This window comes from Homo sapiens, chromosome 2 (genome assembly GCF_000001405.40).
Source record: "Homo sapiens chromosome 2, GRCh38.p14 Primary Assembly".
NCBI classification, from domain to species: Eukaryota; Metazoa; Chordata; class Mammalia; order Primates; family Hominidae; genus Homo; species Homo sapiens.
Genome location: NC_000002.12, coordinates 104,419,995 through 104,434,785, shown reverse-complemented (window position 1 = coordinate 104,434,785; position 14,791 = coordinate 104,419,995). Strand labels below are relative to the sequence as shown.

The following is a 14,791-nucleotide window of genomic DNA, read 5'->3' as shown; positions in this document are numbered from 1 at the left end:
AACAGAAAAAAGAAAAGCCACCACCAACAAAGACAGTGAAAAAAAAAAAAAAAGCAAACAGCCACGCGCGCCATTAAGCATATGCCAAAGTAAACAATCGGTGCGGGTTTGCCACGGCTGTGCCCTGCAGGTAGAAGGCAGGCAGCACGGGAGCAAATGGAAGGGGAAAGAGAAAGAGAAGCAGGAAGTGGAGGAGCCGGGAGCAAGGCGGCCTGATTGTGAGCCGCAAGACACACCATCAGCCATGCAAAACAGGACATACCTTTCTGGCTTGCTGGTTCTGTCGGCTGAGACAAAGCAGTCCCATTCGCAGCGGGAGGCCAAATCAAAATGAAATTTTATTTAGTCTGCACTGTCCCCAGATTGGGTTTCAGAATGACTGCTTTAGGAGATAGCATGGATGTGGCTGATGCATGCTTTGCATATGAAACTGCAGTAGGAAAAGAAATCTACATAATCAAAAAAATCTGTGCTGTGTGTGTGTGTGACAAAAACCCTGGACTCCAGTGATTTTGCTGCCGTGTATGTTTCAAGCAGGCCCTTTCAGGGTTGAAAGACGTTAAAAAAATTTCTTAAAATAATGTTATTAATAAATATTAATAAATCTATAACAGCCTAGTTTATGAAAATATATGCAATTTCCTGGTTACAACTCTGCCACATTAAAATAATTGTGATTTCTAGTTTATTTAAGAGTGTATCAAAAATCTGTGTGAGAAAACAAATTGAACTTAAAAACAAGTGCAGGCGATTTCTTTTGGAAGGGCGTTGTTCCAACAATTACTATACTCCCTCAACCTTGATAAAATAAATTAAAAGCTTAAGTCTTAAGCAATATGGAAATTAACACTAGGAGCCTCTTTGACTTTTCTCTGGGAAGACACTTAATCATATTTAGACACTATTTTAAAAAATAGGGCAAAAGTCTTTGAAAACACTCTTTAGACGCTGGAAATTATATTTTTGACATTAAGAAAAGGGACTGTAAAGTGTATATAGAACACATATCATGGAATCTCTAAATAGAGACATGTGTGCTGTATGTGTGTATTGTACACACACACACCTACTATGCTTTTAATACAGGGTTACCTCCTGCTTTGGGCAGGAAAAGGAAGTGATATTCAAGGTGCTGTGAAACAAGGGGGCAGAATAGAGCCTGTTGGTAAATATATATTATTTCTCAAAGAAATACTTATCCCAGCTTGGTTTTGATAGATCAGTTCCTTGAGGTTGAGTGCTGCCAATCATTTTCTTTAAAGAGGAAATAAAAAGTAAAAGAAAAAAGAAATAGAAAGAAAAAAAAATACCTGTATAAAACGACAGCAAAAAAAAAAAAAAAAAAAAAAGGCAAGACAGGCTCTCCCACTGCACGGTGCTCCGAAAAAAACATGGACTCTTGTAATTCTGTTTTATGAAGTATTCCCAAGGATGGGAAGAATATGAAATCTGCCCATTTAAGCTCTGAGGAGGCAGTCTCCAAGCCATGACCCAGAGCAGCATAAAAACTTCTCACAATAATGAGATACAAATAGCTCAAACAATGTGCTTCCACACACAGCCCCAGCAGAAATCACCAACAGCAGAACCATGTACTGATGTCCCTTAGAGAGACAGTCAAGCCTAATTCTGTGATTCAGGTTTCGACACCATTTTCTTAGAAAAGCTTTTCCCCGTTCCAGTTTGGATGGGTGGCCTGTCAATAATAATATTTACAAATGTAAAGGTCTTCTTAAATTGGTAATTTTGCATTAGGTACAAAGGCATCATGTTCAGCTGTGTACACCACCAGCATAATTAAAGCATAAAATCCAAAGACAGCAAATAACATGTGCCTCCTTTATGCTCCAGAACCACCACGTCCAGGTCTCCTTATAACAAGGGCAGTGCCTTGGTTTCTCTGTTGCTTTCAAGCAAGACCCTCTTTTGCCTTATCTTTCCATTATATCATAATTGTTCAGATATTCACTAAGCAGGAGTTTTGCCTGCCTATTATTTTTAGTGACAGGACACCCCTTTTCTGGAGGACGGAAAGATGTGACTTCTTAACAAATTCTCTATCCCCCAAATTCAGTGCACCTGGCTTTCACTTTCTACCTAATAAGCATCCGTGAATATGCAAATGTTCAGTGTCTCAGTAACCTCATTAATTTATTCCTCAGGCAATCATAGAATGTGAAGCGGTCCTGTGCCACTAGTACTGGATATGGTAGGATCAGGGCTACGAGAATCAGCTGAAAGCTCAGGCTGCATACTGAAACACTGTTTCATCTTTATTCCGTCTTTTGGCACTCTAATTCAAACAAAGACTCTTACCTTCCTCTACTTAGCTGACAGCCAAAAGCAAAACCAGAAAAAAAAAAAAAAAGAAAGAAAGAAAAAAAGAGAAATGCGTAGGGTTAGTAATTAAGATCTTCCCTCCACCACCAAACACGAACCAGAGGTGATCCATGGCTTGAACAAAATCTCCACAACAAAACAGTTTCCAAACTGCCCAAGTTGTCTTATTTTATTATTTACTGGGGGTTGGCGGGGGTGGGGGGAGTGGGGAGCAGAGGGCAACCTGCTTTCCATACAGCAATGCAGTTGAATAATCTTTCGCTTTGCCCACATTAAAAGCCCTGAATAATGTTTATAAAATGTTAGGGAATCCCGGTAGGTTTCCTATTTAACAAGCCATGTATGACAAATCACAGTGTAATGTACTACGTTCTTAATCTTTAATTAGAATGTGAATATCTGCTAGAGAACGCAGTTAACTTTGACACGTTAAATCTTCTGGTTAAAGTGCCTTACAGGAAGAGCAAAGATGAAACACTGTAACAATCTCCCGCTTCTCTCCATTCACCCAGACAGTTGGGGAAGGATGATAACATCTTGTAATACCTGCTCTGCAGTAATTAATCGCTGTGGTATTTAGGACCATTCAAGTAGACAAATATGACAGAGACAGGGACAATTAGAAACCTTGTTCAAGCTACATTAACTTTTCCAGCTATTACAACACAGCAGCTCAAGTTTGCTTGTAAAAGCTGCAGAGGGATTGCTATGCATTAGCCGTGCGATTATTAATGAAAGAAAAGGAGAATTGTGTTTATTGTAGTTTGAAAATTGCAAATAAATTTCAATTATCTGCTATGTCATTTTGTTAAACATGCACTCTGGAAATGCCTTTGTACTCTAAATCATGAGCTACTTAGAGCAAACTAATACCAGAAACCCTCAGGGAGATAGGAAGTCAATATTTTTGTGGAACTGGACTTTTTTTTTTTCGTAAGTGAAATTGGAGATGGGCAAAACCACCTGAATGGGCTTTTCAGGTAGCAAGCTCTGTGGCATCTTGGCGTGTATACAGCTGCTAGGTACTAATAGATGTTGAGTCAGATGTCGTGGGCAGACATCAGGGCAATCAGAACCACACTGTTAAAAGGAACCAGAGAAGCTTTCTCTCCTTGGGGAATATCCCCAAAACAATGATAAGAAATCAATTATGATAAATAAATAACGTCTGCCATCTCTGTTCCTTCCAATAACAAAGTCAGTCTTGGGGAAGAAAACACCTACGAGAGGTTCTAGTCAGCTGTAGAGGTGATGGAGTCAATGTTTCTGGCAAATGGCTCATGTCTACTGCCTTTCAAGAGGATAACTGCCAATCACTTTGAATGGCAAACTTGATCTTGACACACACACACACACACATGCACACTTGGAAAGCAGGAATAAACACACCCGCTTCTCTGCTGCCTTTTGTGAAACTACTCATTTTTCAAAGCATGCAGACCTATACATCCAATACCAAACCTCTCCTCGGTGTCTCCCACCCAAACCACGCGACAGAACCACTTTCAAGGGGCTGATGAGATGTACATCCCCCGGCCTGGAAAATGCCTCACGTCCAAACTTCCCACCCACCCTACTGTCCTCTCACCCAGGCCCAGCCCACAACATATTTCCACCCAATTTATTATTCAATTTTACTGCCCATCAGGAATTGAACAAAAAAAATATAATTCTGGTGCGCCTTGGAGCCGGGGACCTGATCCAATTGTCTTCTGTAAATCAAAGAAAGACCAGCTTAGCATGGCACAAATCTGCATCCCCACCCCAGAATCTGTTGTCACACACACACAAAAAACCCCGCTCAGTGCTCAGGAACAATCTCCCCTCTCAGCCGAGCTGCGATGATGTCAGCTTTCTGATTACAAACTGCTTATTTATGCTTCAACAGCTGCCAAGAGCAGCAAATAAGTGGCTAAAAGAGTGTCTAGACCAGGCTTTCAGGCCGCTATTGTCTGGGGGTTGTTACCTGGTTGACAGCGATGGGTCCAGCTGCCTGGTGTGAAAGGGAGCAGAGATGGCGAGGCCATGATTGACAGAAGGCCCTCGGGGTCAGCCCGATGGCCCCACGTCTTTATATTCCCGGCTCCAAAGGGAAAGCCAGGGCCCTGCCTGGAGGTTGGAGGTGAAAGGAAATGTTGGAGGGTAATGAAAAAATCTTTTGGCCAAATTTGCGATCATGAACACTTACCCCAGGGAATCAAAGCCAGTGCAAGTGGTCACAGAGTAGCCAGAAATGGGCACCTCGAGCGAAAGGAGTGAGGCGTTTCTTATCAACCTCACAGGCCCCTGGAGGAGCTGGAGAGGATGCACAGGCACACATAAATTCACTTTCTTTTTCTTTTTTATGTCTTTTTTGTTTCATTTTATTCTGTGGTGTGGGATGGGGAAGCTTGAGCAAATGCCTTTGTTACCACCTTTTTAACACTATCCTGATAGTTCGAGGACACTTTCAGAAAACTTCCCTTTTAGTACTTTCAATGGAAATCTGACAGAACATGAAACACTCCAACATTTGGGGAAAATAAGGAGCTTTGCAAGCTGACGTAAATGTCTAATTAGAATTTTCCACCACCACCACTTGCAACCTTTGAATCTTCCTTTCCCATTTGTTTCCAGCCACGCTCTCCATTTTAACACTTTTCAGGGTAGATTTGAATGTACCAAATCGCTGCCTTCATCCTGGCATCTCACAATTCATTGCAGTTGATTGGCACCAAACATTTGTGGCTTCAACCCTGCTCCTCCCCCAACCCCATTTTATAGTTTGGGGTTCTTGTGAAGAAAAGAATACTGCTAACTCTTGATCACTGAGACACACTCATTTGAATATAATAATCATAATGAAATAACTTCTTCCATGGAGCCCACCCTGTGGTTATTGCTACTCAAATACTTTGCTCCTTCTCGGGAACTGTAGCGTTATTATTTCGACACCATTGTTCCTATAGGGATAATTAATAAAGTACAGCTCCCGGGCAAAGCAACGAATGCTCCTACTTTCACATTCTTATTTACTTTTTCTCCGAGCGTTAAAAACACAGTTTCTTCCAAATACTGGCTGTGATCTAGGATCCAAATAGTACAAATCAGATGACGCTGTAGCCTTAAAAATGGTTGCATTTTGAAAAATAATAATAAAGATGAAGAGTAAGCTTTCTACTGTGTGAAAAATAACAACCATTTCAAACCATGGTGATCCCCAGAAGATGCCAGACTTGAATGAAATGCAAGAGAGCACCTGAGGAGACGAAGCTTAATTCGTGTATACAGTTGGCTTTCTCTATAATATCTGATTAAGAATCTGTAACGAAAATGAAATCACGTTAAATTAACTGTAAAAAATAAGTTGATTTAATTAAGCAAGAAAGACTTAATAGATATAATAAAATGTTAAAAAGTCAAATGATGTGCAGTTACATTTCAGTTAACACTGCTCAACAAATGTACTAAATTTATTCCTTTCAATAATGATGTGTTTTGAACATTTAATTAGATAAATAATGTCTAATCACTTCAGCAAATCTGAACTGGAAGAATCCCTTGTCATCAAAGGTGACTCACGCTTGTTACATCTACCTTCTAAGGGAAGGTAAAGCTGACAAACTTCAGCTCTTTTCAAGGAGATGAACAGAAATAAGGTAAAGTCTGTCTTTCGAGCCTCATTAAAATTCATGGTTTGCTAAACAAACTATTATTTACAGTAAGAAGAGTGTTATTCGGAATAGACTTCTACTTGTTTGCCTTTTTTTTTTAAGAATCAGAAGCTCTAAGCAGCTGATAAGAAAAGGTATACAGTGTTAGATGTCCTATAATTCATCATAATACTGTTTCCTTTAATAACTACTTTGCTCAAGTGATTGGCATGATTACAAGAAAATTACTTCAAATTATTCATCTCTTATCTTTCCTCTAAGATGTCCTAAGTTGGATGATAGTTAGCATAATGGGGCCCTATTAATTACTAATGTGGAAAGTCCTTCACAATTTGGATAGAGTTTGTAGCCTAAATAAAGAAAATAGTGCCAAATGCACCCTTACATCATCTGCTCCTTAAGATGGTGCCACCCACTGTCTATTAAATGGAATATCAAGGACATTTATTTCTTCGTTTGGAATTTGCTAAGATGAACCCAGCCTGTATATGAAAAGCAGATCCATAATTAACATCTATATGTGTACACACACACACACACAGACACACCCAGAGGAATGCACACACACACACTCACACACACACAAGAGCACATACCCAAAGCACAAAAGTATTGAAGTGTTCTGAAATGTAGAAGATGATTAACATAAAATTATCATTTCAAGCTTCTGGTGTTAATTCATTCATATCTTTCTGGAAAAACAATTCGTGGTAAAAGATCTTTTCATTTCTAATATTGCCTGGAATAATTTGTTTTGGGAAGTTTACCTATAAATATATTTAGTTCTTCCCAAGACATAATAGTATGAAGTTCTGTTAAACCCTGAGACTTTTGAATTTATAGATAGGTTGCTGTTAAAAACATCTTTCATTTCTTCCCTTACTTTGAGGGAAAGTAGGTATATAAATAGAACACACAAACATACAAACTTAGAATTTTCATTCATATTCGTTTTAAATAGTCACCCGGTTTTAAGTTATGTTTCTTTCTATACAATGTTTTGTGGAATATTTGTCTTTTCATACTACTTATTTTCTATTTTTCACAATTTTTTTCTTTTCTCAGTGATGATATAAAATTTATAAACTAACTCAGAATCTGGGATCATGTAAAGTCAAGCCTAAGGAGGTTAGCAATGGAGGTCGGAAGGTTACTTTGTATGTAAATAATAACAGCTATTTGGGGGGTATTTTCTTGTGGTAATGTTTCCAACTTAAAGAATCCTTGAAACTTTTCACTTTCTTAGTGTTTACTTCAACATTCAAAGTTTTTTTTCCTTTGGATTTGTAAGACGTAACAAACATACTTACATGCAGGTGGAGTTCAATATAAAAACCAAGAAACAATGTGACCCCTATCTTCAGAAAACTAGGAAGAAACACTAGTATGTGGTTGGTTCTAGTGACTGGATATAAGTGCTTTACTAAAATCTGTCATCTCCAGGGTAGATTTCACCTGCAGCTGTAGTTAGGATACTGTGTCCAGCTTCAAAGCCTTTTTATATTATACCTGCTAGGCCAGGACACGCCACCATGATCACAGGACCCTTCCCTGTCAGGGAGTAGAGAAAAAGGCTGCAGGGCAACAGTATTTGGCCTAAAGTCAGACTTGTTTTGTGTGGAGGGTCTTCCTCTTTCATCCTGTATTCCTCTCTGCTCACCTTGGTGAGCCTGTGGTTTGTGGACCTTTGTTGTTTCTTACCACCGGCTTCTTGGTGTTTGTCTGCTTTCACCTACTAGCAGTCACTGGGATTTAACTCTCTGGGGCCACTTCTTGGAGTCCCATCCAGGTGTTCTGTCCTGTTCGAATGTTGCCCATATTTTGGCTTGGCAACTGAAAACTGTGGAATGTAAAATGTAGTACAGTGTACATATCTTGATCAAATATACCATACAGCAACATATTTGAAGCACTCTAATGTAAGACACAAAGGTCGACTCTCATTACGATTGGTTTGTTCAGATCTCTGTTGTTTAGGTAACATTTGCTAAGAATCATGGATGAGCCAGACAACTAAAGAAAATTATGATTGAACTTAAAATACATAAAAGGGGAATATTCATATTTCATTATACCTTGATTACGTATTGGTAATGCAGAAATGTGTGCACAAGTACAAAAAAAATTTATTAGCTCCCAATATGCACAAAGCATCCTACAATGTAATTTTAATACTGTTTAAAAAAAGGTGAGTTTTAAATTTTCATTCTATTCATCATTTTCCCCTTTATTTGTCCATCTGTGTGCCTATACTGTAGGATTTTGCACAGTAAAACTTGGAATTTTGTGCTTACTTGCAAGCAATTTAAGATTTCTATTTAAAATTCAGGAAAGTAGTCTTGTTTGGGTTGCCTTTTCATGTGTAAGTTGCATAGTCTGGAACTTGGCCCTTCTCTGGAATAAATTAAGTTCCAAAGTCCAAGTGAGCTTGTGCTTAGTCACTGATGTCCCTGAACGAATTGCTTAGTCACTCTCTGCCTCAGTTTCTTAATTTACAAATGGCATATCTGATCCATCTTTCTTAGCAAAACTATTTTTAAAACTTACACTTGCGAAGGAGTAATGTGCCTTGGGAAAAAGACAGTGCATGTTGCTAAAGCTAGCTATTTTAGAATATAAGAACCTGGGGGAAAAAGTAGAAGGAAGGAAAGAACTCGATTTTATCTCTTCTTTGAGTGAGCTGATGTGAACTGCTTAGCCTCTGTCCATGTTCTATAAGAATTAAGCAATAAACAAATAAAACAGGGAATGAACTAGAAATGATTTGGGGCAAAATACTGGGCTAAGAATCAAAACCCTGCAGGCTCTGCTCTTACATGCACAGTTGGTGTCACCCTTGGGTAAGTCCCCCCACTTCAGGGCACCTCATCCTCCACCTGAAAATTCTAATCCAGGAAGGATATACATAAAGTGTGAATTACACACAAAAATCTAAGGTAATAAGGAGGTGTGAAACTACATAACTTTTTAAAAGAAGGTAATTGGTGAAAATACTCCTTCATGCATCAGGAATCCATTTGTTTTATTTCCAACAACAAAAAAGCTTATGCAGATCAAATATTTATAATAATCAAAAATTTAAAATATATAAATTTTATTATCTAATTGATATCTTACACTAACTTATCAATTAATTCTTCTAGAAAGCCATCTTGTAGGCAGTAAACAAGTAAATGGGATTTTCACATGCATTTGTTCATTGAAATATATAGCACAGCCACTTAACAGACAGCTATTGAGTTAAATTCAAAATATTATTATTTTTATTGCACAAAAGGATGATCTCAAGCAAGACCACAGGAAAAATATTAGTACTGCCCCAATCAAGAATATGGAAAGTAGAGTAAACACAAAAGACTTAGGATTCTCACAGAATCTGCAAAGAGTACTTTGAAATATTCATTTCAAGGTTCTTGGTATGAGGGGCAATGCTAGTAAAGAACAATGCTAGTTTCACAATGGTAGCCTTTTCCAGCCACCTCACCTAGAAAGTTTTGGACCATGGCCATGACTGACAGCTATGATTCTAGTAATACCTGCCCTTAGGCAGAGTAGCACCCAGTGAGAAACTGATTCCCTCCAAAACAAGGAATTCATCACACATGCCTCCTGGTTGCAAGGCTACAGTATCACCTGCATTGGCCAAGGACACCACTAGTCTAGTCACACGGATAAAGAGGACACAGGGGAAGTTTTCTATTATAAAAACCAAAAAGGGTTACAAAATTGGAAGAATATTTTATCTTAATGTTATTTCTCCAACCACGAAAACAAGTTTCCTCAAAGTCTTCCCTAGGAATTCAGTTAACACCATGCATCAGAAGGAGCCCATTTGTGGCCGGGTTTGGTGGCTCACGCCTGTAATCCCAGCACTTTGGGAGGCCGAGGCAGGTGGGTCACGAGGTCAGGAGTTCAAGACCAGCCTGGCCAAGATGGTGAAACCCCCGTCTCTACTAAAAATACAAAAAACTTAGCCAGGCATGGTGGCAGGCGCCTGTAATCCCAGCCACTTGGGAGGCTGAGGCAGAGAACTGCTTGAACCCGGGAGGTGGAGGTTGCAGTGAGCAGAGATGGCACCACTGCACTCCAGCCTGGGCGATGGAGCGAGATTCGTCTCAAGGAAAAAAAAAGAAGGAGCTCATTTGTTTTATTTCCAACAACAAAAAAGCTTATGCAGATCAAATATTTATAATAATCAAAAATTTAAAATATATAAATTTTATTATCTAATTTATATCTTACACTAATATATCAATTAATTCTTCTAGAAAGCCATCTTGTAGGCAGTAAACAAGTAAATGGGATTTTCACATGCATTTGTTCATTGAAATATATAGCACAGCCATTTAATAGACAGCTATTGAGTTAAATTCTAAATGAATACAATGACCAAGGTTACATTAACAATCAGTAGCGAGCCAAGAAACACAATTTGGAATCAATATCTATAACACACTCATATATCCACTTTAAAGAGTATTTCCTAAAATTAGCCAAAATGATAGATGTCACTTAAGCCAATTTTTATTTTCGAGTGTTTGGCCAATTAGATATGGAGCTATGTGAATATTTCAGGGAAACTCCTAGTTACATAAAGTCCATAGATGAGGAAATCTAGTTTTCACTCATTTACTCAGCAAACATATATTGGATTCATATAATTGATAGCCTTTTCTATATGTCCTGAACTAAAAGTGGCACTTCCAATTTTCCCTATTTTTAGATTGCTCATGGTTTGTAAGATAGACCATCACTTCAGCAAGTCACTACAACATAAGGTAATACGAGTAAAAGTAGAGTTGCACCTATGGGGCTATGAGAACAGAGAAAAGGGAGGAATTGGAGCATCCCAGAGGAGGGACCTGAGTGTTAAAGTCAGAAAACGCATAAGGAAGAAGGGTGCTCCAGGGAAGACTTGGGGAGGTTGGCAAAGAAAAGCCATCCAGAGTCCCTGATGTCTGCAAATCATAATCCTGGTTAAGAAACTGACATCCAAAAGGTTTGGCCCAATGAAAATTCTGGGCATCAACAAATAAGCAGTTCACACAAGAGGGTCAAAGCAACAAGGAGCTAAAATCTGGGTATGAAGAGTAGACCATGAATGTGGAGGCGCAAATGGGAAGAGTGCAGCTTGATAAGCACGGGAGAAAGTCATGTGCTATCATGCACTCTCAGAGCACCATGTACAATTCCTCAGGGAAGTCCTGCTTGCATACATTTGGTGGAGTTTTTGTTACCTATGGCAATCCCCTTTTCAAGGGAGGTGGCTGGAATCTGCCCCAGAATATGACAGTGCTGGTAGAAATGAGTCTTGCTTCAATATGACTATAACCCCATGAACTGAAATGTTTGCTGCAGCTATTTCCTCCCTCACCCACTGCAAGTGGCGTCATTGTCCAGAGACTCTGGGCTATGTCACTCAGGGTGGATACCCCATCTTCGCAGTCAGGCCTAAGTTCTTTAAGGCACATTCAAATATGGAAACCCAGCCATCAACATCTCTACTGACGGATCTCCATCTACCTGGGACCAAACAAATATGCTTTCTTTCCTCTCCCTAAAATTTCATAAAGGAAACAGGAAAGAAAGACCCCCTTGAAGATAAAGAGATTTGGGGATTGGGCAAGAGAAACATAAAGGCAAATGGGAGAGTCAGGTAGAGGAGGTTGTTTGTGAGAAGAGAAAAGATGATGGCGATCCTTACCTCCTATCCAGTGGCAATGTGGAAAACCTCTGGTCCCTAAGATGCTATTCTGGGTAAAAGTCTGGAAAACAGGTAAAAGTCTGATGAGACCAAGTGGAGCACACTGTCTGACTGCTCTGTGCTGAAGTTGGTCTAGGTCTTCTACGACCAAGGATTGAGCAAGCACTGCAGGCAGGCTTCATCCCCATAAGAGAGATGCTTGCTGTCTTCCCACACCACCAGCTGTCTTAAGATAAGTGTTAAAAGACTGGGGAACAGAATGGAAAAAATATTTTTGACAGTCATGACTTTTAAGGTAACAATATAGCACAAAAGAGAAAAGATAAAGCAGATAATAAGGTGTGATTTCTCCAAGGGCCTATGCCTTCATTTCCTGTGGGTAATTTTATGGTGTTGAGACTGTTGTTTTCCCATACAAGTCAGAAAGGAACAATGGGACAAAGTTCCTTGTCTGTGTGCCTGAAATGAGGAGTAAGTCTCTTGTCCTACTGACAATTACCCTTAGCTGTTAATGTCACCAAATCGTATCACCAGAAAGGCATGTCTCATATGAAGAATACAGAAAGTGATTCAGCAGTTAATTTGTCAATTCTTTAAATCATAAGACATATCAAAGTATTTACTATATTTTAAAGAACAATATTTAGTGTAAGTTTTTAAAACAGAGATTAAAACAAAAACATGGAGAAAAAGAAAGGAATGGATCATATCAATACATTACGTATTTACATAATATTTTGGAATAAAATATTGTTCTTCCTGTTCAAAATCATCTCTTTATTCTAAAAATGGCCACCATTGTGGTGTGTGTGTGTGTTTGAGAGGAGGAGGTATTAGAAAAAACAGGAAAGATACCTGCTTCTTCATTATTTTGCTATATATATATATACATATACACGTATATATATTCTTCTATATATATACGTATATATTCCTCATTATTTTGCTTCATATATAGCAAACTATTCTTCATTATTTTGCCATATATATACAGTATATATAGTATATACATACTATATATAGTATGTATAGAGTATATATATACTCTATACATACTATATATAGTATGTATATAGTGTATATAGTATATATACTATATATAGTATGTATATAGTGTATATAGTATATATACTATATATGGTATGTATATAGTGTATATAGTATATATAGATTATATATGTATATAGTGTATATAGTATATATAGACTATATATATGTATATAGTCTATATATACTATATATGTATATAGTATATATATAGTGTGTGTATATATATATAGTGTGTGTGTGTGTGTGTGTGTGTGTATATATATATATATATTTTTTTTTTTTTTTTTTTTTTTGAGACAGAGTTTCACTCTTGTTGCCCAGGCTGGAGTGCAATGGTGCGATCTCAACTTACCACAACCTCTACCTCCCTGGTTCAAGCGATTCTCCTGCCTCAGCCTCCCGAGTAGCTGGGATTACAGGCACGAGCCACCACGCCTGGTTAATTTTGTATTTTTAGTAGAGATGGGGTTTCTTCATGTTGGTCAGGCTGGTCTTGAGCTCCTGACCTCAGGTGATCCACCCACCTCGGCCTCCCAAAGTGCTGGGATTACAGGCATGAGCCACAGCGCCTGGCCTATTTTGCTATATTAACCTATATTACGTTAATGAAGATGATTCAATGCAGTATGTTACCTAGAAGGTCAAGAGCATGGAGAATATTGCATTCAAATGGAAAAGGTGGACTACAAACTGAAGATGTAAACTCTGAAGGTTGAAACAGTGGACAGGACCTGCTTGTCTTTAATTATCTTTTTTTTTGTTGTTTGTTTCCTGGCAGTTCTAATTGGTGAACTTTGGCATGAAGTTGAAGAAGAATAAACTTATTTTCAACGTTGTTAGTCTAGTAGAGTACTGTGTCCTTATAGGCCCATGGATTGACCAATGAATTGCCCAGTGAGGGATATCTTCTGGGAAGCTCTGAAGTGCTCTAATGTTGCCTTTTGCTGATCATACCTTAGTGGATAACGGGAATAATGACAATTGAGATAGGATGCTTCTAGGAGGAAAAACTTCCACAGATCTTCTCCCAGCTTACATTCCTGCTTATTAGATATTGCAACTTACGACCAAGGTGGGTGTTTGGGGATGGATAAGAATGGTTTGTAGAATTTGCAGCAGGGGGAGAAATATGATATTCTTCAAGTCATCGTTGTTAACTCACAGAACTACGCAATGGACACGAAGGCAGGTTTTTGATAAATCCTGTTCCATTGCTCTCTTTTTTGTTTTTCATTTAGTTTTTCACAGTGCTTTAAAATTAACCAAAATCATGTTAATCTTTGCTCCCTTTTTTTTTTCCAGACCATCCTAGCATCATGGGCTGCATCTGACCTGTTTACAGGCAGATTTGGAAACACCTTACACAATTCATGTTACACCAACATCTATTTCACAATCTCACATAATGCCTTTAGATACCTCAGCTCATTCCCCTCCCCCAGCCTTCAATATTGACTGGTTTTCCATGCAGTGCTGTGTAGGTGGAAGACTCTATAAGAGCTTCCAGCTGAGGGGGCAGGGAGGAGTTGACATCCTGCCCAATTCCACTTCCCAAGCTGTAGGCTCTGGCCCGGGACGAAGGTCTGTAGGCCCTTTCCTAATTCACACAAAGGCTCCATATAGATATAGGCTCAAGATGGTCTCTGCCAGACTAACACGGCACTTCACATCCATGCATTTCAAACTGTAGGCTAGGACCCATGGAGGTGTGAAAATGTTTATCTATCTATAGGATAGAAAATATCAGAATGCTTCACAGATAGCAAAGGTATATTGTTGTTTGAAACTTTTGTGTGGGCTATGATTACACAGATGTGTCCTGGAATATATATAAAATGCATTTCTTCCTGTAGGTCATGGCCAAAAATATTTGAAAGCCATCCTGTTTATCATCATAGTCCTCAATAGATTAATACCACTACTACTAATAATATATCAACATAGTATATTCCAGAATATTTAGAAGTATTCACATATTATCATACTTGACCCTCAGAATCTGGAAAAGTTGATTGGGATTATTACCTTTACTTGGTAGTCGCAT

General features: G+C 38.6%; 1 long non-coding RNA gene across 1 annotated transcript in view, besides 1 other annotated feature; it reads right to left on the bottom strand.

The window, feature by feature from the left end:
- LINC01102 (long intergenic non-protein coding RNA 1102) overlaps positions 1-439 on the bottom strand; it is a 78,411-nt gene extending 77,972 nt beyond the window's left edge. Inside the window, exon 1 of the long non-coding RNA NR_015399.1 lies at positions 263-439. This is a non-coding gene — a long non-coding RNA (long intergenic non-protein coding RNA 1102). The remainder of the gene's footprint in view (positions 1-262) is intronic.
- Positions 3,732-6,962: an enhancer, noted in NCBI's record as "VISTA enhancer hs1534". NCBI's record gives its function as "enhancer in: hindbrain (rhombencephalon)[7/7] | midbrain (mesencephalon)[7/7] | forebrain[7/7]" and the evidence as "EXISTENCE:transgenic organism evidence [ECO:0001131][PMID:17130149]".